The following is a 16,164-nucleotide window of genomic DNA, read 5'->3' on the forward strand; positions in this document are numbered from 1 at the left end:
AGCATGCGCAGTGAGGTTCCCTCGTGCCTTAAGGGCTGTGGTGCCCCTCCTTATCCCGCCTTGCCCTGTCCTATGCTCCTTCCCAGGTCCCCATTAACGACTTTGGAATCCCTCCTCTCTGTGTGTGGGTTCCCCCCCACCAGGACTCAAATACCTCAAATAAAGTCAGCCTTCAAAACTCACTCCATGACCGGGCGCGGTGGCTCACGCCTGTAATCCCAGCACTTTGGGGGGCGGAGGCGGGTGGATCATGTGGCCAAGAGATCGAGACCATCCTCGCCAACATGGTTAAAACCCGTCTCTACTGAAAAATACAAAAATTAGCTGGGTGTGGTTGTGCGCGCCTGTACTCCCAGCTACTCGGGAGGCTGAGGCAGGAGAATCACTTGAACCCGGGAGGCGGAGGTTACAGTGAGCCGAGATTGCGCCACTGCACTCCAGCCTGGTGACAGAGCAAGACTCCGTGAAAAAAAAAAAAAAACTCACTCCATGCTCACCTGACCCTCCTCCCCGCTATGGCCCTCCTTCGTCCCATGCCCGGGACCCCACAACAGCAAGGCCATGGCAGTATCGCTGAGTTTTAGTAGAAAGATGACGACCTCAGAGGCCATGGACCAAGTGGCACAACCCACAGGAAGCCCCCCACGCTCCCCCTCACACTCACTCACACTTCACTTTCTGGGAGGACTGATCTGCAGACCTACTGGCTAAGTCATAGTCAGCACGAAAGAAGGAAGTCACGACGTCTCCTTTCACAGTTGTGGAGGGACAGAAGTTAGAGAGCAAGGCGCATAGGCAGCAAGGAACTTTCATAGAAAGGGACATGCACATTGAGCCAGGGACTTTTCAGGGCAGGGTAGGGTTTTCCGCTGTTCCCAGACCCGCATCCCCATGGCGTTTGTAGTAGAAAAAGGGACTTGAGAGCTTTCGTCTCTCTTTGTCCAATCTCATGCATTCAGAAACGTTGGGAACAGACAGTCCCTTACTGGAGGATGTGTCTCAGGAAGACCTTTTGTGGAAGAAATAAATTATTTTCATATCTTTATTTATAAAGCCGTTTTTATTTATTTTTTTTTCCAGACAGAGTGTCACTCTGTTGCTCAGGCTGGAGGGCAGTGGCATGACCATACCTCACTGAAGCCTCCATCTCCTGGGCTCAAACAATCCTCCCGATGTAGCCTCCCCAGTCCCTGCTACTACAGGTGCAGACACCACACCTGGGTAATTGGTTTATTTATTATTTATTTATTTTTTAGATAGTGGTCTCACTGTGTTGCCCATGCTGGTCTCAATTTCCTGGGCTCAAGTGATCCTCCCACCTTGGCCAGTTTTATAAATGCTTTTATTAATCACTTTGTTCTCTGGTTCTGGGTTTTCTGCCATGCTTCCAATAAACGTAATTGAATAAATTCTTCTGTAGAATAAATACATTCACACCTGTTTACTCTTTTCTTTTTAGGTTGTGTTACTTCACATTTAAATCTCTGGACTGGTAACTGATTTCCCTGAATATACCTGTAGGTCATTCAGACAGTATATGTTTCAGAAATAGCCATAGATTCTGACTGTAGGCTCTAGGCTCAGTTATGACCAGAAAACAAGTCCTGCCAGTCTCCTACCTCAAATGTATGTTTGTGTATTGACCTGATCCCTGGGACAAGTTTCCCAGACTGAAATCATGGTATCATAAAGCTGGACGCTTTCTTGAGGGGATAGAGTAACATCCATATTTTCAATCCGTGTGTAAATAAATTAATTAATGGATGAAAAGATGTATGCAATAATGCAAAGCAGAATAACAGGTATTTGATTAATACGGCATCACCAAATTTTGCTTTAACAGATCTGATCGTAATTATTTCAGTCTTTGTGGGTCATGTAGTTTCTGTGGCGTAGTGTTGTGTTTTTTAGCAATAATACTTTTAAATGGAAAAAAATCCTTATCTCAATGGCTATGCAAAACAAGCCATGGGCTGTATTTAGATCTCAAGCCATAGTCAGCTAGCCCCTGGATTATCTTTTACTTCACATATTTGAATGCTGTATTTTTGTACCAGTAGTCAAAAGATTAACAAAGGAGAGTTCTACCACCAGGTAAGATTTAGAAAGCCTCAAGAGAAAGTCACTTTAGCCTTGAAAATGAAAAACAGCCTAATAATCTATAACGTTATCTTTTGTTTTGCTTTGTTTTTAGATCATGAGAGACCTGAGGTAACAAGGCAGCCATGGGAACTGATCCAAAATGGTGACTTAGTCCCTCTGAGGAGGGATGAGACAAACAAACTGCATCACCTGTGGCAGAGCATGTGTGGAAGAAGTGACAGCCATAACAGGGGGTAAGAAGAAAACCAGTGAAAATGTAGCAAATTCATAAAGTTCGAACACAGGCATTTGAGAGAGCTGGAATCCTGGCAAGTCTCAGACACCAGCGGAATTCACGTTCACAGACAGAAAGACATCCTGTCTCAAAAAACAGAGTCAGAGTCTATAAGGCTGGATAAAAAGCAAGAACAAAAATAACAGACGCTGGTGAGTTTGTGCAGAAAAGGCAACGCTTATACCCTGTTGGTTGGAGTATAAATTAGTTCAACCATTGTGGAAAGGAGTGTGGCAATTCCTCACGGACTTAAGAACAGAAATACCATTTGGCCCTGCAATCCCATTGCTGGGACTATACCCAAAGGTACATAAACCTTTCTATTATAAAGACGCATGCACATGTATGATCATTGTAGCACTACTCACAATAGCAAAGACATGGGATCAACCTAAATGCCCATCAATAACAGACTGCACTTTTTAAAATGTGGTACATATACACCATGGAGTACTATGCAGCCATAAAAAACAGTGAGATCATGTCCTTTCCAGGAACACGGATGGAGCTGGAGGCCATTATCCTTAGCAAACTAATGCAGGAGCAGAAAACCCAATACCACATGAAGTCACTTATAAATGGGAGCTAATTGCTGAGAACACATGGACACCCAGAGAGGGCCAACACGCTGGGGCTTATCAGAGGGTAGAGGCTGGGAGGAGGGAGAGGATCAACAAAATAACTAATGGGCACTGGCCTTACTACCTGGGTGATGAAATAATCTGTACAACAAACCCCATGACATGAGTTTACCTATATTACAAACCTGCACATGCACCCTGAACCCAAAATAAAAGTTAAAAGAAAACTCGAAAATAATTGTGAACTCTTCTGATCTTTCTACTTTACAAATATCAGTTCACTTCTTTTTATAAAAGGTAGGAAAGAAGGAAGGGAGTGAGGCATGAAGGGAGCCAGGGAGGAAGGGAGAAAATAAGGACAAATGGAGCGAGGGAGGGAGGGTGGAAAGAAGTAAAGGAGGGAGGGAGGGAGGCAGGAAGGGAGGCAGGAAGGAAGGAAGGAAGGAAGGAAGGAAGAGAAAAATAGGGCTGAACAAACGTTTCTGTCCCTAGCCAAACAGCTCTTGATGGGAAGGCACTTTTAGAAACTTGAGTGAAAAGTAACATAAATCAGAGGATTTGAATCATCTTCATTTACAGCCCTTCAAAAGTTATTCTGGCTGTTGTTTCTGAGCGATTCAAACCTGCCTTGGTCTCCATTAAATCCACATATTCTTCAGAAGGGCAACTCTTCCCTGGATTAACAGCTCAGCGGAGGACCAACACAAACTGGTTAGTCTAGGAAGAAAAAGAAAAGAAAAGTGCAGGAGACCAACATTTCCTCCCCCGTGGTTTTTTTTGTTTTTTTTTTTGTTTTGTTTTGTTTTTTTTTTTTACATCTCCTCCTCAATCTACAGAGGGATATTTGAATCTCCACATTTCAAAGCTAAGAGAGCTCTGAGAGATCATTTTATATAGTTGTTTCTCAAAGGATTTTTAGCAAAAGAACACCTTCGTGAAATGAAATTTTACCCAAAACCCTACTGTAGAAAATAGGGGGATAAAATTATATTTTTCATATAAATATACCACTTTAATGTGAAGATATCTTTCTATGAAGGCTGTCAAAGAGTTTGATTGAGGTTCTTTTGAAGAGCCGAGCAGATTATTCTGTGGATTTCTGCGTAACATTTTAGTTGTATATTAACTTCTGCATCTAATTTTTCGGTACTTTTATTGTTGTTGCACAGTTGCAAGAGGATCTTGATTTTCACAGTATATTTATCAGTAATCTGTATCTTGAAAAAAAGAGCCCCACTCTACAAATAAATAAGATACAAGTAAAAGATGGAAAAAGATATTTCCTGCAAATATGAATCACATAAACTCAAAGTGTGAAATTAGTATCTCACAAAGCACACTTTATAGTGGAGATTACTACAAGGGACAAAGTGGGACATTACATAATAATCATAGAGAGGTGCATTGATTCAGAAGACAGAAACACCACGGATATGTAGGCAACTTCAAAATACTTGAGGGACAACTGATACATCATCACAAAGAAGAAATAAACACATGTGCCTTTAGTAGAAGACTTCCCCATTACTCCCAGCATTTGGTAGAAAAAGTGTACAAAAAATCAGGATATATAAATGCAGAAGGCTTGAACAACACTATCAGACAGCATGGCCTAATTGATATTCATAGATCAACAGCAGAATGCACATTCTTCTCAAGTGCTCATAGAATGTTCACCAAGATAGACCATATTGTGGGCCAAAAAACAAATCTCAACAAATTCAAAAGGAATGAAATGTTATAAAACATGTTCTATGACCAAAAAAAGAATTGAAATGGAAATTAGTTGTAGAAAGATGTCTGCAACTCATGAAATCTTGGAAATTAAATGTCACATTTAAGTAACTCAGAGATCAAAGAAGAAATTGCAGGAAAAAATTTTAAAATGAAAACTCAACTTATCAAACTTTGCAAGATGAAACTAAAGCATAGAGGGAAATTTATACCCTTCAATACTTATGCCAGAAAGGAAGAAAAGTCTCAAATCAATTATCTAGGTTTCCACATTAAGAAACTAGAAAAATGAAATCAAATTATACCCAAAGTCAGAAGGAAAACTGTTAGACCGTGCACAGTGGCTCATGCCTGTAATCCCAGCACTCTTGGAGGCTGAGGTGGCCGATCCCCTGAGGTCTGGAGTTCGAGACCAGCCTGGCCAACATGGTGAAACCCGGTCTCTACTAAAAATACAAAAGTTAGCTGGGCTGGTGGTGCACGCCTATAGTTTCAGCTACTCGGGAGGCTAAGGCAGGAGAATCTCTTCAACCTGGGAGGTGCAGGCTGCAGTGAGCCGAGATCATGCCACTGCACTCCAGCCTGGGTGACAGTGCGAGATTCTGTTAAAAAAAAAAAAAAAAAAAAGGAGAAAAAAAGAAGGAAAAAATTTAAAAGACATGAGGAAAAATGAATTAAATAGAATTGATAAAAATCTATAGAAATTATCAGTGAAACCCAGACATTGTTTCTTTGAGAAGACAACTCGAATTAATAAACCTTTATCCAGACTGATGAGAGAGGGAGACACAGAGACTACAAATATTAATATCAGCAAACCCAGAGGGTCGTTACGTCAATACAGATCCTTTAGATATTAAATGTACAACAGGGAACCTTTCAAGAAATGTTATCCAAAAACTTATATTTATATTGAAAGAAAAAATTATTTGAAGGACACTAGCTAGCAAAACTCATTCTAAAACATATACAAGCAAGCAATCTGCAGATTCAGTGCAATCCCTAAAAAAAAAAAACAAACAACAACAGACAGTGACATTTCTCACAGAAATGGATAAAGCAATCACAAAATTCATATGGAACCACAAGTGACCCAGAATAGCCAAGCTATTCTAAACAAAAAAGAACAAATCTGGAGGACTCACATTACCTGACTTCAAATCATACTACAGAGAGATAGTAACCCAAACAGCACGGTACTGACATTAAAACAGACGTATAGACCCATTGAACAGAATACAGAAAGCAGAAACAAACCCACACACTTACAGTGAACTCACTTTCCACAAAGGTGCCAAGAACATACACTGGGGAAAGACAGTCTCATTAATAAATGGTACTGGGAAACCTGGATATCCATATGCAGAAGAATGAATCTAGACCCCTATCTCTCACCATATACAAAAATCAAATCAGAATGGGTTAAAGAAATCTAAGCTTTCAAACTATGAAACTACTACAATAAAATATTGAGGAAACTCTACAAGACATTTAGATTGTAGATTTCCCTGGGCGAAAATTTCTTGAGTAATGCCCCACAAGCACAGGCATCCAAAGCAAACACGGGCAAATGAGATCACATCAAGTTCAAAAGCTTCTGCACAGCAGAGGATACAATCAACACATTGAAGAGACAGCACACAGAATGGGACAAAATATTTGCAAACTACCCGTCTCACGAGGGATTAATAACCAGAGTATACGGGAAGCTCAAACAATTCTATCGGAAAAAATCTAATATCTGATCAAGAAATCACCAAAAGATTTGAGTGGACATTTCTCAAAGGAAGACATACAAATGGAAAACAGGCATGTGAGAAGGTGCTCAGCATCGCTGATCTTTGGAGAAATGCCAATCAAAACTACAATGAGATATCATCTCACTCCAGTTCAAATGGCTTTTAACCAACAGTCACGAAATACCAAATGCTGGCGAAGATGTGGAGAAAAGGGAACCCTCATACACTGTCAGTGGGAATGTAATATACAACCACTACGGAGAACAGTTTGGAGGTTTCTCTACAAACTAAAAATAGAGCTTCCATATGATCAAGCAATCCTATTGCTGGGTTTATGCCCCAAAGAAATGAAAGCAGTATATCGAAGAGATATCTGCACTCCCATGTGTGTTGCAGCACTGTTCACAATAGCTAAGATTTGGAAGCAACCTAAGCGTCCAGCAACAGAGGAATGAAGAAAATGTGGCACATACACACAAGGGAGTACTCTTCAGCCATAAAAAAAATTGAGAGCCACTCATTTGCAAAACTATGAATGGAACTGGAGATCAATATGTTAAGTGAAATAATCCATTCACAGAAAGACAAACATCAATTGTTCTCACTTATTTGTGGGATCTAAAAATCCAAACAATTCAACTCATGGACACAGAGAGTAGAAGGATGGTTACCAGAGGCTGGGAAGGGTAGTGGGGAGCTTGGGGGATGTGGGGATGGTAATGGGTACCAAAAACATAGTTAGAAAGACTGAATAAGACGTCCTATTTGATAGCACAGCCGAGAGACGGTAGTCAATAAGAAGTTAACTGTATAGAAGAATGATGCTGGCTACTGATCATGTGCCGGCTACTGATCATGTGCCACCTCCTGGCCATGGGAAGTGAGTCTGGAGAAGGCCATGAGAGGCAGTTCTGGGCTCAGTAGTGAGGAGGGTGTGACACTGCAAAGGACACCTTGCCTTTGCCCAAACCGGATGGACGTGGTGCTCACCCCACCTCTCACTGCTCAGCTCCGTTTCCTCTCCACCCGCACCCTGGATCTTTCCAGAGCACCGGGCCTCCTCCAGCCTAGGGACCCAACTGCTTTCCTAAGCTGCTATGGAACTGGCCTGAGGTCCCAGGGGCTGTGCATTGTGCTGCTGACCTCCGCTCTCTTCAGCCAGAGTCCCAGTTCAGCCGCTTTCTGGAGAAATCCGTCGCCTGGGCCCACGCACAAATTCAGAGCTTAGCAGGTGTTGACATGTGCTCCGCTTTCCTGGAAAGGCCACTCTCCCCATCACCTTTTTCACAGATGTGAACGTTGAGGCATGAGGGAGGGTAATTACTGGTTTACCCAGGGGATGCTAAGAACAGAGGAGAAAACCCCAGTGCTCAGGTGTGTGTCTGTCTGATGGGCCATGTTCACCAACCCATTTAAGTGGACGGGGCTGCTAATAGATACCTAAAGATTTGGTTTTAGGTATTTTACACTTGAAATCATTGGCTTCATCTCAACTGAGGCCTGACTGCCCAGTGTCTCAAAGATACAGGTCATGACCTGATCCTTCAGGAACAGATGGTGTTCCAGCTTTGTGGGAGTGACTTTCAAGGTGTGGAGCACTTGGGGTGACTTTGAGACACCTCAGGCTTCATATCTCTGCTTTGAATGAAAAGCTCATCACCCACGGCAGCCAGGGGACGTACCTTTACTCGATGGGGCTGATGTCTTGAATTTTTCTGTCTAGACAATGAAAACTTCTGGGAGCACTTCCAGTTTCGTGTAGCCTCTTAATAATTGATGTCACTAAATTCCGTATGTCCTCTGGGACTGTTCCTTTGATTCTGGGATGGTACCAGCTTTTATGCTTTTATGTGTAATCCGTAAAAGCCAAGTTGTTAATCTGCATGAAAATAAGACTTTGTTCATATCACACATTCCAACAGGTTTCATTTGTGATTTTTAATGTGGGATACTATGAAAAAAAAAAAAAACTAAAAAACCTGGTCATTGAAATTAGACTCTGTTATTGTATTTTGTGAAGAATTTCCTCCTTCAGGATTAACCACCCATGGGCTCATCAGCACCTTTGTAAGTAAAGGGACAAAAACCAGGTGGCATCTACGAATGCGGCAAAATGAGGAAGTATAGGGAGACCACAGCACAATGGCTCTTGTTTCAAACAGAGTCTGGGGTGAAGTACCCGCATCTCTCCCCCATCCCTCAATATTCTCATCCTACTCCTGACTGTTCCCTCTTTAGGTGGGATTTTCTAAATACGATTGTCCACAAGTGTTGGTGGGGATGTTGCAATGTGAGGGTATCCATCATCAGTCATCTTAAAACAAAGATGAATGGAGAGGAGAGTGTTGTGATCCGTTTTCAAATGCACTGCTTTTGGGTGTGTGGCTGCAAAAACACATGGTCTCAGCAATCCCACAGCAGCTGTCTCAGAAGATTGGCCCCGATGCCACCACAGCTGCTGTTGCAGAGCCAGGAGCTCCTTGCGGTTTGGTGTCTTCTGCTTAAATTTGTGGATGTGACCCCCCTCTGCTCACCCAGTTCCTGGTAGCATCTGCTGAGTTTCCTGATTTGTTCCAGTGTTCCCTGAGAGCCAGTTGTGTAATGATATTTCAGAGGGTCTTCAGGGATTCCATCCACACTACACCAGTTACTGTGCAATGGCCATGTGCTTATCTTCTTGGAGCCCCCATGTGTGTCCTCTTCAGTGGAGCTGTGAAGAATTCTACTTAAATGTAGATCTCATTCTGATGCTCATCAGGCTGCTTAGAAAGCTGCTCATCTCGTCTTTGGACGCATGTACTTTATTCCTTTTGTGTGCATTGAAGTCTGATGCAGTTTTATTAATGCTGTGGACCCTTGTAGTTAGGTACTTTTAAATATCTTGGTGAATGTAACTCTGGCAACAACTTGAAGAAGTCGTTGTGTGATCCCCATTGTATGGGTGAGGAAGCTGACACTTGTGGAGGTAGAGCAGGTTTATTAACTCCACACAAGTATTGATGCATTTCACATCTCAAGGTAGAAGTCTTCCTCTAAGGTTCATGCTGTGCACTAACATGCACTACACATACTGATGAAAATAAGACTATTGTCCTCCTACCAAACGGGAAATTAATGCCATGGCTGGATAAAGACACTTGTAAAAAAACTGCACTTCTGTCTATCTCAGTATTCCAATGAAAAAGCATAGAATTTTAGCCAGCTCCTGGAGAGACCAGGAAGCACAGAGTGTCCTACAAGAATGGGGATTCCTTGGAAGTGAGGTTCACCTTGACTCAAGAAAGATGACTCACGTATGGTGAAAGGCAATTATCCAGGGCCTCAAGAACAGCACCAGGAAGGAGAGCTGGGTCTGGTGGGATTCTGGGGGTCCTCTCTCCCACCTGGAAATCTACTGCTGCCTGCCGACCCTCTCAAGATGGCGACCTCTCTGGGTTCCAGCGCCTAAAACAGGCAAAACTGGGAGGACGTCGATTTCTCCATTCTGTGCCAGATATGTCTCAGAGAAACATGACCAAGGAGAACTATGAGAAAAAATGCAAACTCTGTCAGGCCATTCAGTGTTTGGCTGGTGCCCGGGGGAGCACATGCATCCCAAGAAGACTGAAGGGGGCCAAGCCTGCAGGAAATGTCTGTCAGACTTGCCTCTTAGACCTAGAGTATGACTGCCCATACAGGTTCATGACACAGACTTGCCTTTAAAGGTGACTGCAGATATGGACAGAGGAATTTCTAACCCTGATAGAACATGGCCAGTTGCTCTGCTGGGGAAAGCCACGTCCAGTAGTGAGATGCTGCTCAAACTGGCCCGGACCACACTGTACTGGCTGAGGAATAAGCCTTACATTTGTTCTGTCCAGGTGAAAGGAGAGGACTGTCCGTAAAGACATGAGAAGCCTGCAGATCCCGATGACCCCCTCTTGCTGGTCAAAATATTAAAGATCGATATTGTGGAAACAATGACCCTGTAGCAGATAAGCTTCTAAAGCAGGCTTCAACCACGCTTCATCTTGAATCACCAGCAGAGAAGGATTCCACCAGAGTGTATGTTGGTGATCTGGCGGATACCATTACTCAGACAGATTTAAGAAATTGTCTCTGCCTGTTGGTGAGATCCGGATGGTCACCGTTGTGCAGAGATAGCAGTGTGCCTTTCATCCAGCTTTCCACAGGGTGGCTACAGAAGTGGGTGCCGACAAGTCCTCTAATAAACTGATTGTCAATGGCTGCAGACTCCGTGTAAAATGGGGACGATTCCAAGCACTCAAGGGGAAAAAAAAAAAAAAAAAACAAAAAAAAAAACAAAACAAAAAACAGGTTGCGGGGGACAGAATCACAGAATCTGGGATCCTGCCAGAGCCTATTCCAGTGCCGCCAGGAGCTCCTTCTCCCCCTGCAGCTATGGTGCCTACTTTGGAGCCTGCTTACATGGACTGAGGCCACCTTTTCTGACTTTTCCCAGTGGCAAAATGCACCTGACAAGGAGAATAGACGTAGGAACCTGGCCTCCTGGACCCTCACTTGCCCAGGATTTTTCTTGGTGCTGTGAGCTGAAGGAGTTCTTGTAAGATGGAAGCAGGGCCCCAGGATCATGTGATTGGCCTCATGTCTCTGCCTCACTAATGGTCAGGTGGTGGGCACTCAGGGCCTGGGAACCCAGCCATCCCTGATTCCTTGAGTTGATGAGGCAGGGGGCTGGCCCACCTGCTCCTGCCCCACCATGGCCGTCGTGGATGGTTGCTCTTTGAGCCTGGTAACGTCACTGGCTTGGCTCTGCCAGGCATGCACAGGCCCTGCGTACCCACACACTGCTTTAAGGGGCTTGCCCTGCCTTGGGCCACAGTCTAGTTCTGGCCAGTGTCCCAGGAACTCAGTCCCCTGTGTATCCATCTTAGCTGTTTCTGGGGCACCCATGGCTCCCCTGGGTCCTTTTTCTCTTAGGGCTTTGGTTGGGGAGGGCTTGGGCTGGATCGCAGCCCCATGGCTCTAGGACGCTTGCCATGTGAGAGAGGCTCTGTCACACGAATGGGCAGACATGAGGACATGTGATATGCTGCTGGCTGGCTGGGGCTGTGCAGATGCCACAGTCACTCTCCCCTCCAGCAGCCTCTGAGGGCCCAGCTTCCCCATTGATATTGATCCCATATGGCCTAGCAGTAGTACTGACTGCTTTGGGGCTGTGCAGGTCACTATCCTCAGAGAAACGTCAGATCCAGATGCCACCATGCAAGGGGAGTTTCTGTGGTCCTACCTCTGGGTTTTCAGTGGGGTGGGCCGGGTCTGGTTGTTGGAGCCCTGCTGGGGTTGCAGGGATGGGCCTGTCCATTGGTCCTGGCGATGTCCAGAGCAGATGTGGAAGGAATAGGAGTTCAGCATGCCTGCTCAAAGCTGCACTGTAGAAACCATGAGCCCTGGATGTCCAGGTACATGGGGAGTTTTGGGAGAGGACACCCACACAGAAATCGCCCAAAATCCTGGGGTCTGTCCTGAGATAGGAACAGACTTGCTGCACTCTGGGCGGCTGAGCCCCCAGAGAGTGTCCTGCTGCCCGGGGCTCTGCAGAAGTCCCCTCATGCTGCTGGGCCTTGGCCTCAGGGTCAGCTTCTGGACTTCTGGAGCTGGGCTGGTGGGCCACGGAGGGCCAGCCCATCCCCCTTGGGGAGGGTCTGCATGCTGAGGGATGCCCACAGAGGCCTGGGTGCCAGGGACACTCGCTCCAGGCCCAGGACCTTCCTAGGGATCTTTGCGGGTTTGGCTGAAAGAAAAGCAGATTTGGTCCACTTCTCCACCAAGCCCATTTGTTCCTTGCAGGGCTGGGCCTCATGAACCTGGGCCCCTGGAGTTTTGGGGGTCTCTAGTGGCCCACCTGGTGTGACACTGAGGAAACACCCACAGGCTGCTGAACCCAGAGTGAGGGGTGCGTGCAGCTTGGGGCATGGTTGCTGTCAGAGCATCTCAGGCTGCTCCTGAGACGGACCCCAGGGTTCAGGCTGGCTCGGGGCTCCAGGCCTCATACCCTCACCCCAGGGCGGCTCGGTCTGGGCTTCAGCCCTGGTGCAGAACCCAGCTGGGAGAGGCCTTACCTGTCACCTGGCCCCCTTGCCACCTAAGATGAGGATCTGTCTCCATAGCGCGTGAGACGCTCCTGGGCACTGGGCCCCTCTGCCATCCCGGACAATCCACGCCATGCCATGACTTCCCACACCAAGGGGCCTACTGCACCGTTTCCCTGAATCCTCTCTCTGGGTCTGAGACACTGATTCTCTCCATTCCCTGGCTCAAGGCTTGCCGTCGTGACACACTTGGAGGGGTGCTTGTGAGTGAGGCGCCCCTGCTGTTCTCTGGCGTTGGTGCTGGCAGCTGTGGGTGTTGGCTCGCACAGATGGGACCAACCCCTCCAGTGCCCCCTAGGGTTCTTCTAGGCCAGGAGGGGAAGGGTGTGGGGGAGGGGCTTGGAGGGGTCTTGCCCTCATCCCATGCCCTGTCACTGAGGCGAGTCTAGCACCTGCCCTGGGGCCCAGCTGGCCTGTTTTCAGAAACTTCTTTGAGAAGGAAGAGGAAAAGGAGGAAGGCCCAGGGAGTAGGGATGGAGGGTTCTGGGCACTCCCCATGATTTAATGCCTCAGAGGGTGACTCGGGAGGCTGGAGCCCACGTGGGATGCAGGTCGCAGTGTGTCCTTCTCAACTCGACCATGGAGGCCTGAGCACCACGTGGTCCTCAAGAGTCCAGGCCTGAGACAGCATGTCCTGAAGGAGCTCCCATGGGCCAAAGAGAGACAGCTTCAGGAGATGTTCTAGGAATGGGGCTGCACATCAGGCCAGGTGGGGTCTCCTGGGAGAGGTCTGTGCCTTCACCTCGTTTCTGCTCTGGGCACTTCCCAGTGGGCAGTGCTGGGCCCCTTTTGGACAACCCTGGGGTCCAGCTGTGCACAGGAGGCCATGGATGCAGGGAAGGCCCAGGCAGGGGAATGCTCACCACGCTCCTGCCTTTCATCTGTGTCGTGTCAGGGGTGGGCTCAGTTTCCAGAAGGACTCACGGTGCCCTGCACAGCTGACCAGGCCTGGCTTGGCTTGGCCTTCCCTCTAGGCCAGAGCAGAGGGTCGTGTGGACAGTGCAAGTGCTGCCCTCAGGACAGTTGAGGTCTGTCTTGTGTGGTCCTCCTGCTACCTTCAGGCACATGGGGACAAGTTTCTATGAACTTTGAATGCCGCTTATGTCCTGGCTGTGAGCTTGTGCTCGCCCTGCAGAAGGCAGACCTCCCAGAGCCTCAGGATGAGCCCAAAAGGGGTCTGTGGGGACAGCAGGCCTGGGAGGACCTGGCCTGTCAAGGCTGATGGCTGGTGGAGTGAGCAGAGCCTATTGGGATCCCAGTCTGTAGTGCCGGGGACCCACTCTGCACAGTATCAGACCCCCCTTCCCAATGAGGCTATGTCAGACAAGATCCTGCAGATCCTCATGGGGGTCGACTCATCTCAGTGGGATGTGGCCCCTGGAAGAAGGGGCTCCCCAAGTTCTCTCCCAAGGTGAGTCCTAGCCCAGTCTGCACACGATGCCGGCTCTGAGCCCCAGCCCCTGCTGTGGGATGTCGGCATGGTTTCTGTGCCCTGCAGGGACGTGCCTCTGCCTCCTGTGCAGAGGAGACGAGCAGGATCATTCTGGAGGGGTCAGAACCCTACAGCGGGGAAGCCAGGCACTGTGGGCAGCAGGGTCACTGGACTGGGGAGGGGGGGCGGTCTCCTGTGCATCCTTGCCCCATCAATTGAGTGCTGTGGGAAGCACATTAAGGTGGCAGTCTGGGTGCACAACATTTCCTTGTCCTCATGGAAGGAGCAGAGGTGTTCAGAGCCCCTAGGACTTCCCTGAAAGCCTCCCCGTTCCCGGGCCCTCTGCAGTCCCTACCCAATGCCAGAACTCCAGGCAGTAGGCTGGGCTGTCACCCTCTTCTCTGAGACACCTACCTCGACTCAGAGACCTCCCCGATGCCCTTCAGATGGGGACCCTCCATAGGCCTTATTTGATGCTGTAGCGCTCTTGGAGCACGCATGGTTTCTGAAGGCGTGGCTCACGTCCAGGCCATTCTGGTGTACATTCACTGAGGACAGCTTGCCCTGCTCCATCATTTTCTGTAGAGCAGGGCCAAGAGGGGGACCCACCCTCATAACAGACACAAGACTCACTGCCGAAACAGCTGTCATAAAACAGCAGTTCTGGAAGGAAAAGAGGCTTTTTCTGCAAAAAACTTCTCCTCCTTGTTTCCAAAGGCAGGGAAAGCCATCAGAGCCCAGCTCACCTGTGGAGCCCAGGTCACTATCTATCCGGGATTTGTGACTGGCCCCTTCCACCCTCTCAGGACTGACTTTCCCTCCAGCTGGGTAACTGGGCGCCTGACATGGCATGGCATGTTTGTCCTGCTCTGGCCAGTTGTGGTCGGGCCAAATGAGGTATTTCCCTAGGTTCCTGGCCTTCCCCTTCTTGAAAACCATCAGGAGTGACCACACTGGACCCCAGACTTGTGGGGGGATTCCCTTGTAGATCCAGTGAGAAAACCATGGACAGAAGAAGGCTTTGGTGAGACAGGTCTCAGGGTGATAGTAAGGAGGATCAGAGTCTAAGCATTCTGGAAGCCTCCTGCCTTTGGCTCCAAGGTTCCTCGGGGGAGGTCGAGTCTACCTAGGACCGGGCCTTCCTTCCAATGAATAAACAGTGGACAAGTGCTAAAAAAGACAAACAAAAAAAGAGTGTAACTGTGCATTTTAAAATAACATGAACAGTATAATTGGATTATTTGCAACTCAGTGGATAAATGCTTGAGAGGAGGAATACCTCAATCTCCATCATGTCCTCATTTCAAATTGCAAGCTGCATCAAAACATGTCAAGTATGTGTGCCTACTAAATACCCATAAAAATGGACATAAATGAAACGTTAAAAAACAAATAAACGACATATATAGCCGTATATCAATTAAAGGAATTGGATTCAGTAAAAGCAACAAAGAAACTCAACAAAGATATTTCTCAATTAAACCTCATGTTTCTGGTGACTTCACTGGATAATTCTGCCAAACGTTTCTGGGAGAAATAACACCAGTTCTCCACTCAAGATAATTGAGGAGAGGCCACACTTTCCAAAGCATTTTACAGAGCAAGCACAAGCCTGATATCAAAACCAGACAACATTATGAGAAAATAACATGACAGACCAATGTAACTCATGAACATAGACACAAACTCTGTAAAAAACAATTAACCGGAGTTAGAAACTAGCAACATAAAAAATTTACATCCTAGCCAAATGGAATTTCCTCCATGTGAGTTTAGCAAAGTAACATGGTACAAGATGAACATGGAAAAGTCAATGCTATTTTTATATGCCAGCAACAAACAATTGAAAATTGAAAGTCGATATCCCTTAATATAGCAGCAAACCCCCCCGTGAAATCTGTAGTGGTAAAATTTAACAAAATATGTGCAAGACCTGTGCTCAGAAGCCTAAAAAACATTTCAGAAAAATATGAAACCACGTTGAAATAAATAGAGAGACATACCACATTAATGGATTGCAAGACTCAAGATTGTCAATATGTCAGTTACTCCCAAATAATCTATATGTCTAGTGTAAACCAATAAAAATCCCTGCAGCCTCTTGTTGCTATAAAATGACAAGCTGACTTCAAAATTTATATGGGAAAGCAAAGGGACTAGAATAGCCTAACAATTTTATAAAGGACCA

At 46.6% G+C, this 16,164-nt stretch overlaps 1 pseudogene; it reads left to right on the forward strand.

Annotated features, from left to right (window-relative positions):
* Nucleotides 9,780-10,719, forward strand: RBM22P11 (RNA binding motif protein 22 pseudogene 11; annotated as a pseudogene).

This window comes from Homo sapiens, chromosome X, assembly GCF_000001405.40.
Source record: "Homo sapiens chromosome X, GRCh38.p14 Primary Assembly".
NCBI lineage: Eukaryota > Metazoa > Chordata > Mammalia > Primates > Hominidae > Homo > Homo sapiens.